Source organism: Homo sapiens, chromosome 1, assembly GCF_000001405.40.
Source record: "Homo sapiens chromosome 1, GRCh38.p14 Primary Assembly".
Lineage (NCBI taxonomy): Eukaryota > Metazoa > Chordata > Mammalia > Primates > Hominidae > Homo > Homo sapiens.
The window spans coordinates 184,838,613-184,855,038 of NC_000001.11; the positions used below are offsets into that span (position 1 = coordinate 184,838,613).

At 40.2% G+C, this 16,426-nt stretch overlaps 1 protein-coding gene across 6 annotated transcripts in view, besides 2 other annotated features; it reads right to left on the bottom strand.

The window, feature by feature from the left end:
- NIBAN1 (niban apoptosis regulator 1) overlaps positions 1-16,426 on the bottom strand; it is a 183,477-nt gene that overhangs the window by 47,581 nt on the left and 119,470 nt on the right. The gene's annotated exons all lie outside the window — the stretch shown is intronic.
- Positions 5,242-5,331: a silencer, noted in NCBI's record as "silent region_1640". NCBI's record gives its function as "represses an Ori minimal core promoter by ATAC-STARR-seq in GM12878 lymphoblastoid cells {active_cell/tissue: GM12878}" and the evidence as "EXISTENCE:reporter gene assay evidence [ECO:0000049][PMID:35858748]".
- Positions 7,275-7,880: an enhancer, noted in NCBI's record as "NANOG-H3K27ac-H3K4me1 hESC enhancer chr1:184815021-184815626 (GRCh37/hg19 assembly coordinates)". NCBI's record gives its function as "activates a minimal SCP1, AML or CMV promoter by ChIP-STARR-seq in primed H9 embryonic stem cells {active_cell/tissue: H9 hESC(primed)}" and the evidence as "EXISTENCE:reporter gene assay evidence [ECO:0000049][PMID:30033119]".

A 16,426-nucleotide genomic window follows, 5' to 3' on the forward strand; every position in this document is an offset into this window, starting at 1 on the left:
GAAAACTTCTCTAGGCCTCTTGGGGACAGTTATTCATGGGGCCAGCCAGAGAGGAGCTGCTTTTATTTTTTTCCACTTATACAGATTTATAACACATCTGAATCAACTGAAACACCAAAGCTCCAAGGCCTGTGGAGTCATTCTAGATTCTGCCTCTGGCTGTGGTGTTGGGACTCCCTGACTCAGGCTGGGTTTGGAAGCTGCCTTGTTATTTTATTTCATCAGTAAACTGTGCCAAGCCCTGTTAGCTGATCTGCCGGGTGATTTGTGAAAGTTATGTAACAGCATTACTCACTATGCTGCTACGGGGCTCATCTCACTGAGTTACACTTCTAAACTGTCTTTTGCTTCAGGTCAGATGTCATCTTTCCTATGGGAGATGCAGTGAGGCTGTGTGCCCCAGTTTCTTTCTAGAACAAAGAAGGGGAACAGGGGAAGGTAATCAACACTTACTGAGTCCCTACCATGGAGTATGGACCATGAGAGATGCTTACACACACACAGTCTCTATAATCCTTCCAACAATCCCATCAGGCAGGAATTAATATCCCCACTTTACAGAAGACAAGAAAATGGAGTTTTGGGAAGGCTAAATAGTTTCTTTAAGCTAGCATGTGGTCAAGCAATGGCCACTTACCTCTAAAGTCCTGTTATAACAGTTTATCATGTAATTTTTAAAAACTTTTTATTTTGAGATAATTTTAGATTATCTCAAATAAGATCTCAAATTTGAGATTATCTCAAATTATTAGTTCTTATTTCTCACATGCTGTTATAAGAAATAATATAGAGATACCCTATATACACCCTTCACTCGGGTTTCCCAAAAGGGAGCATCTTGCAACCCTATAGTACGATATACCACAACCATGAAATTGACATTGCTGCAGTCCAACATTTTTATTCAGATTTCACCAGTTTTACATGCATTCCTGTGTGTGTGTGTGTGTGTGCACGCGCGCGTGTGTGTGTGTGTTGTTCCATTTAATTTTTTTTTTTTGAGACGTAGTTTCACTCTTGTTGCCCAGGCTGGAGTGCAATGGCACGATCTTGGTTCACTGCAACCTCCACCTCCCGGGTTCAAGCGATTATCCTGCCTCAGTCTCCTGAGTAGCTGGGATTACAGGTGCCCACCACCACGCCCAGCTAATTTTTGTATTTTTTAGTATAGACGGGGTTTTGCCATATTGGCCAGGCTGGTCTCGAACTCCTGACCTCATGTGATCCACCCGCCTTGGCCTCCTAAAGCGCTGGGATTATAGGTGTGAGCCACCGAGCCTGGCCTGTTCCATTTAATTTTAAGGTTATTTTAAAAGAGACTTTTCTTCTCAAAGTTTAGAATAATATAATTCTAGAGTTTGATCATAGATTAGAGATCACTTAGTCCAAATCTTTCATTTTACAATTGAACAGACTGAGGGCCACATAGGGTGTGATATGGCATTACTAAAAATAAAGCAAAACAAAACTTCCCTGGAATTAACAATGAATGGTGCTCATTCTAATGAAATGGTAATAAAAGTTTTAATTTTTATTTTAAAACACATTTATACATGACCAACCTAAGCAAATGCTTATCACCATATCATAAATGATAATTCTTACGAGAACCAGCCCCATTACTTAGAAGAAATCAGTAAATTATCAGAGCTCCCTCAATTATATTTTATAAACTATAATACCAAAATATTAATCTACTGACCAAATCATATCTGTATTAGTGGACACAGCCCTATCAGAAGGAGAGGAGGAATATGTCAAGAATACATGTATACCCCATGGAGATCCAGGGACCCAAGGATGAGTTACAGTGGTGTTGGTCTAGTTGAAAGTATAAAAATATAAGAACTCACCCTGAGAATATAAAACACTTCTCAAACAAATGGAAGAATGGTGTTTCTAGTAAAGACATTGTTCTGAGATAAATTTTTGGCTGCAGAGAAAAATACTGCCTACCTTGTCCAGCTAAAGGCAGTCCATCTCTTGAATTCTTGACTTGTCAATAAATATTAAAAGACTATTTGTCAACAGCGAAAAGGAAGTGGTGACTACTAGAACAAGTGAAGACAGACTAACCTCATTTCCTTCAGATAGACATACTAGATTGGTAGATTAGAAGGCTGTCGGAGACATCCTGTACCTAGGCAACTATAACATCTTGCATGATTTTGATTGGCACAGTAAAGAAACTTAGACTGGCTGATGATGCAAATAGACACAATCAAATAGTTAAAACCACCCAAATCATGGGTGCTGGGTAAAGGGCTGAGGTTATTGACATCCTGGAGGGAAATCTCCAGGGCATTGCCTTAAAACATGTTCAATTACTTAGAAAAGAGTGTGAGTGTGTGTGTGTGTGTGTGTGTATGTGTATTATAGTTATTAAATTTTCTTTACCAACTACATATGAGACACTGAGTTAGGCTCTGAGGATACAAAGCTGAAAAAAATATGGCTTTTAACTTCAAGTTCCTCACAGTTTAGTGGATGACAGAACCAGGATCCAAAATGGGGTACAATACGGATAAATGAATCTTGCACTTAAGTCCAAAAACACATCCATATAAGTAAACAATATGTGCCTGATACATAGTAGGCATGAATAAAAAATTGGTGAATAAATTGAATGAATAAAGGTACGAAGTTTGAAGAAAAAAAACCCCAAACCCTGGGGTTTCATTTAGTTGCAAGCTCAGTGCAAGTCAGTCAGGGGTGTGATACAATTGTCCACAAAGCATGTAAGGTTGAGCCTCATAAATGCGAAATATAACAGGAACAAGAATGGTCACAGATGTATTCTGAGGTATGCTCCTCTGAGCTCATCATTCCATGGCTCTAGCTCATGCTGGATACCAGAATATTTTACAAACATTTTTTAAAATAAAGAAAAAAGTGGAGTACTTCTGAAGAAGACCAAGTGAATGAGGAATCTCACAGCCTTGGAAAGGAAAAACCTAGAAGAAAGAGATCTTTATCTATACGAAGATCTTCAATGGAACAGAGGGCTGGATTCGTTTCATGGAGATTCAGATACTAGAACCAGGGTTGTGTCATTTAGAGTGTGGCAGATTTTGACTCAATATAAGGAGCAAATTTCTAACATATGGGCTTATCTTAAAGTCAAATAGGCTCCAACAGGATGTCAAAATTTCCCCTAGAAAGGAAGTACTCCATCTGGGCTGAGTTACCTTGTAACAGGTGTACAGATTTGCTCAAATCTCTATTATATAGTCTCATGGCATCATGTGCCTCCCACCACTGTACTTACAGCAGTTATAATGTTACAGTTATTAGTGTAATCATGTGAGATATGTCTTTCCCCAAGACTGTAAACTCCAAAAGGATAGGGTGCTGCCATTCATATTCACCCCTGCATCCCTACTCCCTAGTACATAGTACTTATTAAGTGTTCAAAGAAGGAAAGAAAGGAGGGAACGTGGGAGGAGAAGAAAGAAAACCAGCACTAGAAGGGGTGCTGGTTTAAATCTCCTATAAAGTTCTTCTAAATTTGAAATTTCATGGTTACAAACAAACCCAGGTTGCAAATGATTCACATTGTCTTAACGATTGCCTTCCCTACTGTTGTAAAGAGATACTGAAGGGAACTGATGTACTCTACCCCAGTGCTTCTCAGATTTTGGTGAGCATCAACATCACCTAGCAGGCTTGCTAAAACAGATAGCTGGCCCCCACTCCCAGAGTTTCTGATTCAATAGGTCTGGGGCAGGGCCCAAGAATTTGCATTTCTAAGAAGCTCCCGAGGTGATGCTGATGCTACAGGTCCAGGAACACACTTTGAGAACCACTCCTCTACCCAGCATTAGGAGAGTGGTTCTCAAATCAGAATCACTTGTGGTAAGGCCGGGCATGGTGGCTCACGCCTGTAATCCCAGTACTTTGGGAGGCCGAGGCAGGCGGATTACCTGGGGTCAGGAGTTTGAGACCAGCCTGGCCAACATGGTGAAGCCCCGTCTCTACTAAAAATGAAAAATTAGCCGGGCGTGGTGGCGGGCGCCTGTAATCCTAGCTACTCTAGAAGCTGAGGCAGGAGAATCACTTGAACCCGGGAGGCGGAGGTTGCAGTGAGCCGAGATTGTGCCTTTGCACGATCGTGCCATTGCAGCCTGGGCGACAAAAGTGAAACTCTGTCTCAAAAAAAAAAAAAAAAAATCCATTCTTGGTTTTGCCATAGATATTCTGATTCAACAGACCTGGAATTGGATCCAGGAATCTGTATTTAAACAAGCTCTTCAGGTAATTCTGTTGCAGTTGATTTACACATCACGTTTGAGAAAAAAAAAATGACACAAAAGCAAAGGTGATAGTAGAAGACCATGGTTCTTGAATGCTTAGCGTCTTGATGACCTTGTTCCCTCCTTAGCAGGTTACAAAAGGTCTACTCTGTCAACTGCTCACCCACTTAACACAAATGAACCCTCGCATTTAGTCAAAGTGATGGTTAAAAATAGTACCACAATGAAGCTTTATCAAAAAATATGTGGATAAGGAATCAACACTTCAGGTGGGTTCATGAGGACGCCATTCCAAACAACTAGAACTCTACCCATGGTGGAACCCCTTCCTCCTCCCTTCGGAAGCAGTCATCATTGTCTGGATGTAAATCCCCAGATGTAACCCTGATTGATCTCATTTTCTCTTTTCTGGCACTCAGTGGATATGTGGATTATAGCTTGTCTGTGATAGCTTTCTTTCCCTAGCATGAATGATCTGTTTCTTTACCATAAGTTTTTTTTCAAAGCCTTACAGATATGAAAATGACCCACACTCCAGTCTTTTCTAAAAAGTATGGATGGTGTCATCAGACACTTTCCCCCCCGCAAAAAAAAAGAGAGAATATTTGCTTCTTTCCAAATACCATCAAAATACTCTGTGTGCTGAAGTTGTGATTCATTGAACATGCTTTCCATACACCTGAAAGAGTTAATCTATCACCCCGTGTGCCATAGCCACCGGAGCAAAGTCAGGCCAAGAGAACAATGACACAATCAATTATTTCCTATCTTCCCTGGACAAATCTATATGGCTTTGTATGGGAAGATTTGTATTCTAAGACAGTGAGTGCAAAACTATCTCCCAATCCCTTGATAATTATTTATGGAGATGCTGCTGAGATGACCTCTGGAGAAAAAAATTACACCACAAAACCTAAGCAAAACAAATGAAAACCATCTAATTCCCTCTTTAAAAATGTGAATTTGAAAAAGTGCCCACCATATAATGTTTTACAGGCAGGTGTGGCCATCACACACCCGGGTTATCTTTCAGCTCAGACCACAGAAACTGGGTCACGTGCCTCTCAGTGACGTTGTGGGCATCTGTGTGGCTTACTCTCTGCAGGCAAGTTTACTACACAACTTGGATACGATTTAAAGCAAGCTTGACTGTTCAAACAAATAGGGAAGATGCTTCTTTAGTCACGACTTGTCCTTCATTTTTGATGACACTTTCTCTTATTTCTGGAAATGCTGTTGACAAACGGGTCTTGGTATAATTTATCACTGTAGCACATAAAAATACTAGGGACATTCTTCCTGACTGATTCTATGGATTACCTGCATCTTGTGAAATCAGAACACCTTAGTCTTACCAACATCTGTGAGAGCACACTTTCTACAAGTAAAGGCAGACAGTAAAATAACTTGGCTAGCTTTACATGAGAGAACAAATCACTGGCATTAATTGGCATCACTCATCATGTCCTAGCCTAACACACCTACAGAGTGTAGCACTGTCTGATGATGCTATCTGGGAATATTCTACTCATCATCATTACCAATGATTAATAATAGCATCTACCTTGAACTTGTCAGAGGCTTTTACAATTTACAACATTTCATTTGATTCTCACTGCAATCTCATGAGACAGGTAAGCCAGATGTAATCATTTCTGGTAGAAAATGGAAAAAACTGAAATCGAAGAAGTTTATGTCATTGCCCAAGGTCATATGAATAAATAACTCATTTTATCAGGTCGGAAAATAAGAATAAAAATAATAGGCACAATATAGATTTCTAGTCCCATGCAGATTCAGCTCCAAAAAGGAGCTAACCTTACTTAAAACTTTTAACTACTGCAGTTTACCCTTGTCTAGGACAATACATCCCAGCTTCATTATTCGTAACCTTTTTCCAAAGACCTAAGAAATTAAACTGACCCATGATCCATTTTCTTCCTAAGAAGGAGGGATGGCAGCCACATACTCCTGCAAACCCATCACCCTGCCCTGATCAGAAAGGTGAGAACACTGGCTAATTTCATGGCCCTCTCCTTAGATTTGGAGGGGCAGTATACAATTTAGTCCTCTTAGAGACCAGATAATTGTTTTAAAAAAAGTAGAACTTCAGTAGTCATGTACCAATAAAGATAATGTCTACATTCCTGACCTATTACAAGAAGAACCAGTACCGCCAACAGAGTTCTCTTTAATTTCTGGGTTATCTGAGCCCACAATGTGTACCAATTTTGAATAATTGCTTTAAGCTAAAAGACACTAGGAAAGCATTTTCCCATTGGGGTGGCCAAAGGCCTGGGATCCTGTGCATCATCAGCATGAGTTGTCTCACTAAGGGATCCATTTAACAGAGCTTTACACTTAGGGTAAATAGGTGATTTCATTGTGAAAACGCTAAGCATTTACAATTATTTTCAGTAAAGTTCAAGGAGCATCTTGTTTAATAACTTGGCTAACAACAAGCTTAAACAAAATAAGATGGGATTACTGAATGGAATATTATGCAGTCACTAAAATAATATTTTTTTCTTTTCCACAAATTAAAATAACAATTATGATGACATTATGAAAAAGTAGTTTGGGGATAACTTTAACTGCAAAAAGCAGATTATAGGCCAAGTATGATGGTTCATGCCTGTAATTTTAATACTTTGGGAGGCCAAGGAGGATTGCTTGAGGCCAGGAGTTCAAGACTAGCTTGGGCAACATAGTGAGACCCCCGTCTCTACAAAAATTTTAAAAAGGGAATGTGGAGCCAAGATGGCCGAATAGGAACAGCTCCGGTCTACAGATCCCAGCGTAAGCGACGCAGAAGACGGGTGATTTCTGCATTTCCATCTGAGGTACCGGGTTCATCTCACTAGGGAGTGCCAGACAGTGGGCGCAGGCCAGTGTGTGTGCGCACCGTGCGCGAGCCGAAGCAGGGCGAGGCATTGCCTCACCTGGGAAGCGCAAGGGGTCAGGGAGTTCCCTTTCCGAGTCAAAGAAAGGGGTGACGGACGCACCTGGAAAATCGGGTCACTCCCACCCGAATATTGCGCTTTTCAGACCAGCTTAAGAAACGGCGCACCACGAGACTATATCCCACACCTGGCTCAGAGGGTCCTACGCCCACGGAATCTCGCTGATTGCTAGCACAGCAGTCTGAGATCAAACTGCAAGGCGGCAGCGAGGCTGGGGGAGGGGCACCCGCCATTGCCCAGGCTTGCTTAGGTAAACAAAGCAGCCAGGAAGCTCGAACTGGGTGGAGCCCACCACAGCTCAAGGAGGCCTGCCTGCCTCTGTAGGCTCCACCTCTGGGGGCAGGGCACAGACAAACAAAAAGACAGCAGTAACCTCTGCAGACTTAAGTGTCCCTGTCTGACAGCTTTGAAGAGAGCAGCGGTTCTCCCAGCACGCAGCTGGAGATCTGAGAACGGGCAGACTGCCTCCTCAAGTGGGTCCCTGACCCCTGACCCCCGAGCAGCCTAACTGGGAGGCACCCCCCAGCAGGGGCACACTGACACCTCACACGGCAGGGTATTCCAACAGACCTGCAGCTGAGGGTCCTGTCTGTTAGAAGGAAAACTAACAACCAGAAAGGACATCTACACCGAAAACCCATCTGTACATCACCATCATCAAAGACCAAAAGTAGATAAAACCACAAAGATGGGGAAAAAACAGAACAGAAAAACTGGAAACTCTAAAACGCAGAGCGCCTCTCCTCCTCCAAAGGAACGCAGTTCCTCACCAGCAACAGAACAAAGCTGGATGGAGAATGATTTTGACGAGCTGAGAGAAGAAGGCTTCAGACGATCAAATTACTCTGAGCTACGGGAGGACATTCAAACCAAAGGCAAAGAAGTTGAAAACTTTGAAAAAAATTTAGAAGAATGTATAACTAGAATAACCAATACAGAGAAGTGCTTAAAGGAGCTGATGGAGCTGAAAACCAAGGCTCGAGAACTACGTGAAGAATGCAGAAGCCTCAGGAGCTGATGCGATCAACTGGAAGAAAGGGTATCAGCAATGGAAGATGAAATGAATGAAATGAGGCGAGAAGGGAAGTTTAGAGAAAAAAGAATAAAAAGAAATGAGCAAAGCCTCCAAGAAATATGGGACTATGTGAAAAGACCAAATCTACGTCTGATTAGTGTACCTGAAAGTGATGTGGAGAATGGAACCAAGTTGGAAAACATTCTGCAGGATATTATCCAGGAGAACTTCCCCAATCTAGCAAGGCAGGCCAACGTTCAGATTCAGGAAATACAGAGAATGCCACAAAGACACTCCTCGAGAAGAGCAACTCCAAGACACATAATTGTCAGATTCACCAAAGTTGAAATGAAGGAAAAAATGTTAAGGGCAGCCAGAGAGAAAGGTCAGGTTACCCTCAAAGGAAAGCCCATCAGACTTAACAGCGGATCTCTCGGCAGAAACCCTACAAGCCAGAAGAGAGTGGGGGCCAATATTCAACATTCTTAAAGAAAAGAATTTTCAACCCAGAATTTCATATCCAGCCAAACTAAGCTTCATAAGTGAAGGAGAAATAAAATACTTTACAGACAAGCAAATGCTGAGAGATTTTGTCACCACCAGGCCTGCCCTAAAAGAGCTCCTGAAGGAAGCGCTAAACATGGAAAGGAACAACCGGTACCAGCCGCTGCAAAATCATGCCAAAATGTAAAGACCATCGAGACTAGGAAGAAACTGCATCAACTAATGAGCAAAATCACCAGCTAACATCATAATGACAGGGTCAAATTCACACATAACAATATTAACTTTAAATATAAATGGACTAAATTCTGCAATTAAAAGACACAGACTGGCAAGTTGGATAAAGAGTCAAGACCCATCAGTGTGCTGTATTCAGGAAACCCATCTCACGTGCAGAGACACACATAGGCTCAAAATAAAAGGATGGAGGAAGATCTACCAAGCAAATGGAAAACAAAAAAAGGCAGGGGTTGCAATCCTAGTCTCTGATAAAACAGACTTTAAACCAACAAAGATCAAAAGAGACAAAGAAGGCCATTACATAATGGTAAAGGGATCAATTCAACAAGAGGAGCTAACTATCCTAAATATTTATGCACCCAATACAGGAGCACCCAGATTCATAAAGCAAGTCCTGAGTGACCTACAAAGAGACTTAGACTCCCACACATTAATAATGGGAGACTTTAACACCCCACTGTCAACATTAGACAGATCAACGAGACAGAAAGTCAACAAGGATACCCAGGAATTGAACTCAGCTCTGCACCAAGTGGACCTAATAGACATCTACAGAACTCTCCACCCCAAATCAACAGAATATACATTTTTTTCAGCACCACACCACACCTATTCCAAAATTGACCACATAGTTGGAAGTAAAGCTCTCCTCAGCAAATGTAAAAGAACAGAAATTATAACAAACTATCTCTCAGACCACAGTGCAATCAAACTAGAACTCAGGATTAAGAATCTCACTCAAAGCCGCTCAACTACATGGAAACTGAACAACCTGCTCCTGAATGACTACTGGGTACATAACGAAATGAAGGCAAAAATAAAGATGTTCTTTGAAACCAACGAGAACAAAGACACCACATACCAGAATCTCTGGGACGCATTCAAAGCAGTGTGTAGAGGGAAATTTATAGCACTAAATGCCTACAAGAGAAAGTAGGAAAGATCCAAAATTGACACCCTAACATCACAATTAAAAGAACTAGAAAAGCAAGAGCAAACACATTCAAAAGCTAGCAGAAGGCAAGAAATAACTAAAATCAGAGCAGAACTGAAGGAAATAGAGACACAAAAAACCCTTCAAAAAATCAATGAATCCAGGAGCTGGTTTTTTGAAAGGATCAACAAAATTGATAGACCGCTAGCAAGACTAATAAAGAAAAAAAGAGAGAAGAATCAAATAGACACAATAAAAAATGATAAAGGGGATATCACCACCGATCCCACAGAAATACAAACTACCATCAGAGAATACTACAAACACCTCTACGCAAATAAACTAGAAAATCTAGAAGAAATGGATACATTCCTCGACACATACACTCTCCCAAGACTAAACCAGGAAGAAGTTGAATCTCTGAATAGACCAATAACAGGCTCTGAAATTGTGGCAATAATCAATAGTTTACCAACCAAAAAGAGTCCAGGACCAGATGGATTCACAGCCGAATTCTACCAGAGGTACAAGGAGGAACTGGTACCATTCCTTCTGAAACTATTCCAATCAATAGAAAAAGAGGGAATCCTCCCTAACTCATTTTATGAGGCCAGCATCATCCTGATACCAAAGCCGGGCAGAGACACAACCAAAAAAGAGAATTTTAGACCAATATCCTTGATGAACATTGATGCAAAAATCCTCAATAAAATACTGGCAAACCGAATCCAGCAGCACATCAAAAAGCTTATCCACCATGATCAAGTGGGCTTCATCCCTGGGATGAAAGGCTGGTTCAATATACACAAATCAATAAATGTAATCCAGCATATAAACAGAGCCAAAGACAAAAACCACATGATTATCTCAATAGATGCAGAAAAAGCCTTTGACAAAATTCAACAACCCTTCATGCTAAAAACTCTCAATAAATTAGGTATTAATGGGACGTATTTCAAAATAATAAGAGCTATCTATGACAAACCCACAGCCAATATCATACTGAATGGGCAAAAACTGGAAGCATTCCCTTTGAAAACTGGCACAAGACAGGGATGCCCTCTCTCACCACTCCTATTCAACATAGTGTTGGAAGTTCTGGCCAGGGCAATCAGGCAGGAGAAGGAAATAAAGGGTATTCAATTAGGAAAAGAGGAAGTCAAATTGTCCCTGTTTGCAGACGACATGATTGTTTATCTAGAAAACCCCATCGTCTCAGCCCAAAATCTCCTTAAGCTGATAAGCAACTTCAGCAAAGTCTCAGGATACAAAATCAATGTACAAAAATCACAAGCATTCTTATACACCAACAACAGACAAACAGAGAGCCAAATCATGAGTGAACTCCCATTCACAATTGCTTCAAAGAGAATAAAATACCTAGGAATCCAACTTACAAGGGATGTGAAGGACCTCTTCAAGGAGAACTACAAACCACTGCTCAAGGAAATAAAAGAGGACACAAACAAATGGAAGAACATTCCATGCTCATGGGTAGGAAGAATCAATATCGTGAAAATGGCCATATTGCCCAAGGTAATTTACAGATTCAATGCCATCCCCATCAAGCTACCAATGACTTTCTTCACAGAATTGGAAAAAACTACTTTAAAGTTCATATGGAACCAAAAAAGAGCCCGCATCGCCAAGTCAATCCTAAGCCAAAAGAACAAAGCTGGAGGCATCACACTACCTGACTTCAAACTATACTACAAGGCTACAGTAACCAAAACAGCATGGTACTGGTACCAAAACAGAGATATAGATCAATGGAACAGAACAGAGCCCTCAGAAATAATGCCGCATGTCTACAACTATCTGATCTTTGACAAACCTGAGAAAAACAAGCAATGGGGAAAGGATTCCCTATTTAATAAATGGTGCTGGGAAAACTGGCTAGCCATATGTAGAAAGCTGAAACTGGATCCCTTCCTTACACCTTATACAAAAATCAATTCAAGATGGATTAAAGATTTAAACGTTAGACCTAAAACCATAAAAACCCTAGAAGAAAACCTAGGCATTACCATTCAGGACATAGGCATGGGCAAGGACTTCATGTCCAAAACACCAAAAGCAATGGCAACAAAAGCCAAAATTGACAAATGGGATCTAATTAAACTAAAGAGCTTCTGCACAGCAAAAGAAACTACCATCAGAGTGAACAGGCAACCTACAACATGGGAGAAAATTTTCACAACCTAGTCATCTGACAAAGGGCTAATATCCAGAATCTACAATGAACTCAAACAAATTTACAAGAAAAAAACAAACAACCCCATCAAAAAGTGGGCGAAGGACATGAACAGACACTTCTCAAAAGAAGACATTTATGCAGCCAAAAAACACATGAAGAAATGCTCATCATCACTGGCCATCAGAGAAATGCAAATCAAAACCACTATGAGATATCATCTCACACCAGTTAGAATGGCAATCATTAAAAAGTCAGGAAACAACAGGTGCTGGAGAGGATGTGGAGAAATAGGAACACTTTTACACTGTTGGTGGGACTGTAAACTAGTTCAACCATTGTGGAAGTCAGTGTGGCGATTCCTCAGGGATCTAGAACTAGAAATACAATTTGACCCAGCCATCCCATTACTGGGTATATACCCAAATGACTATAAATCATGCTGCTATAAAGACACATGCACACGTATGTTTATTGCGGCACTATTCACAATAGCAAAGACTTGGAACCAACCCAAATGTCCAACAATGATAGACTGGATTAAGAAAATGTGGCACATATACACCATGGAATACTATGCAGCCATAAAAAATGATGAGTTCATGTCCTTTGTAGGGACATGGATGAAATTGGAAACCATCATTCTCAGTAAACTATCGCAAGAACAAAAAACCAAACACCGCATATTCTCACTCATAGGTGGGAATTGAACAATGAGATCACATGGACACAGGAAGGGGAATATCACACTTGGGGACTGTGGTGGGGTCGGGGGAGGGGGGAGGGATAGCATTGGAGATATACCTAATGCTAGATGACACGTTAGTGGGTGCAGCGCACCAGCATGGCACATGTATACATATGTAACTAACCTGCACAATGTGCACATGTACCCTAAAACTTAGAGTATAATAAAAAAAAAAAAAATTAAAAAAAAAAATTTTAAAAAGAACCAGATTATACATTACATATATATCCTGATTAAGTAATGCAAAACATGAGGATGAAAAGGGAATGCATAAGAAATAAAAGGTGAGTTATGGGGGATTTTGTACTTGTGGCTCAAAGTTTATGAAATGTTACACTGTTAATTATCCTTAGGAATATACAGGCTGATCTAACGACTTTTTTTTTTTTTTTAACTAATCCTCTTATGACCATGGTTGATATTTGCCTTTCCAGAGTCAAAATGGTCCTGGGCAGTTTGCCTCTTAGAATCTCAGAGAGCTCCCGTGAGCGCTGGCAGCTTCCAAAGCCCAGCACGCGCCACAGTCCCACCACGCGGGGTCCAATCCAAGGTGTTTGTAAAGAACTTCGGTGAGCAGAGACTCACATGGAAGCGAGCCTCTCTCTCCCTTAGGACGGGCAGAGCTCAAGCCCAGCTCCTGACCCAGTCCACCAAGCAGTCTCCAGTGTGATGTCAATTGAAGAGGACATTCTTTTTTCTTCTCCTGAAAGATATTGTTTGGTGTGGTTTACTCAGAAGAGATCTCCACTGCCTCCTTCAAATGTTCTGCTTTTCAGGAATGGAGGGAAAATCCTTACAGCCTGGAACACTTTTGAGGTTTGTCACGAATGTCCTTGAAAGTAATATTACTATCCCCTGCTTGCCACCAAAACTGGGCATGGTCAGGGGACAACACAAGTGTGCCTGTGTCATAGGTGATGTCATCTGTGCCACACCCAGATGGACTGGTGCCCCACTGCACTAGAATGTCCTTATGGACAAGGACTGTCATATTTATCACTGTATCCTCAGGCCATAGCACAGTGTCTAGTGAGAATCAAAACTGGCCACTATTTCCACTTCTGCTTCATCTCCTGTGTGACTCGAGGTGAGTTACTTTGCTTCTCTGGGCCTAATCTCTCATTTCAAGTGGAAGGCTGACCATCATGTCTGCTTTCTCAGCTATGAAACAATGTAATTCTATGATCAACTGAAAGTACCGTCAGTTGTATTGACATTTGGTTGGTGCTTTCCATGATAGTAGTTCAACTTAGGGACATAAAGTTCCGTCTTCAAGGCTACCTTCTCCTTTTCTTCCCGCTAAACATTCTCTCTTTCTCTCCGTCTGCCTGTCTCTCTCTCTCACTCATCTTTCTCTGGGCTGCAGAAAGGCATCAATGTGGCTACTGGAAGATATTAAATGGCATGTGTCTTTCATTATATTTCTGTTGGACAGCGCTTGTCTAGGGTCTCTTTGACCTCCTCATTTCCCCTTCTACTCCCCTAAATAACAGTCCATTTCATGGTTATTTCCATTGGACTTACCACATGGAATATCTAATTAATTAACCTAATAAAATAGTGAAAATATTCAAATAAAAAAATTCAAATTTGCCATTTCATGGTCAATGAAAAGATTATAGCAAAACTATGAAATATTACATCATTAACTTATATCTTTCTTTTTATTTGAAAAAGTAGGTTCTTCCTAAACCCCTTAATTTACCATTTACCAAAAGCATTGTGATATACAAAATCATCCAGTTATCCAGAAAAGCTACCTTACTATTTCGGGTGTTTATTTGAATATAAACTGTAAGGTCATTAAGTGATTCTATCTCAACCAGAAATTTTTCTTTCATAAAATGCTTCAGAACAAAATAAATCATACCCTTTGTATAAATCAAGACTATACAATGGAATACAGGTCAGTTCTTGACTATCCTTGCTAACAATGGATAAAGTGATGATAATAATTCTTAAAACTTCATATTTGCTTCTGTACTGATGTTAAGGAAGCTTAATTTGCATTTACATTTGAATTCAAATGAGTCTGATGTTCCACTGATTCATCCTATTTTTAAAACAAAAAGCAAATTTGCCTTTTAAGAACTAACTTGTGCTCAGCTATTCTTTGTTCCTTACTTCCAGTGAGAGTAGATGGCATCTCAGACCAACTGGTTGAAAATGCTCACTTTTCTTCCCTTTCCATGCTCCTTATCCTTCCCACTGAATCTTCTCCCACCCTCAACACACACACATACATACACACACCTGTGCGCACACACAAAAATACACATATACACATGTGCATACACACAAACACACACATCTTTCTCTGGGCTGTAGAAAGTAATCAATACTTTGTCTTAAAGCCCTCTCCCAGGGTAAGAGAAAGGGAAATGGGAAGTCTCTTTGCTTTCCCATTAAGACTCTAGACTGGTGCTATTCAAGAGAAATATAATGAAATACATTTCATATAATGAGATATAATGAAAGCCATGTATGCAATTTTAAATTTTATAGTAGCCATATCAAAAAAAGACACAAGTAAGATTAATGATAATGTTTTATTTAACCCCAAATATCTGAAATATGTGATCAATATAAAAATTATTAATGAGATATTTTGCATTCTTTTTTTAGTACTAAGTCTTTGAAATCTGATGTGCCTTTTATACCTACAGCACATTTGAGTTTGGATTCAGGACATTTTAAGTGATTATTAACCACATGGGGCTATGGCTGCCATATTGGACAGCACACTCTAGATGCTTGTGGTTTAAGAGTATGTTGTTTATTTGAGTTGGGGCAGAGGAGGAGGCAATGAAAGAGAGCATGCCACTGCACACCTGCCCATGTTCAAACAGCCTCATTACAAAGGGATCTGTTTTATATCAATAAAGAAGGGAGAAACTTGACTTTTTCTATAATTCATCAATTACATACATAGCACAGCTTATCCAATAGAACAATCCCAGGATCGGAATAATGCACAAAATTAAGGAATAAAATAAACTTGTAACAAGTCCCTATGTGGATTAAGGTTAGTTCAAATTCAAGACCCTTGACAATTATATCTCACTCATAAACCCTACCTCATGGGCAATGAGGAATCCTTGTGGCTTTAACTTTGAGGGCTCTCTAACAACAATGCCATATGGTAATATTCCTGCTCAGTTTGGTAGAAAACTGCTAACCAGCAACAGACAGATGAGATCATTTCCAAACAGGATACAGCCTTGCAACAATCCACTATATTTATAGTAACAGATTGTTCACCCTGCCTCTACTTTCCACCAAAAAGAACCAACAGCTAAAATGCTTGATGGATTTAGATGCCCCCTGTTTCTATTGTAGACAATCTCAATAGTGGGTACAGACTTGGATCACGTATTGTAATTAACTCAATCCATGGAACTATTTGAAAGAATTGGTCCAATGATCTAATTCCCTTATAGTAAAATAGAAAAAAGAGGAAATAAAAACAAAACCTCAATTCTTGTGTCAGAAATGTCAAAGCTTTTGCAGGAATGAGTGTGTATGTGTGTGTGCACATTTCCTATGTTGGTGTGTTAATGATAAGTAAGTAAATC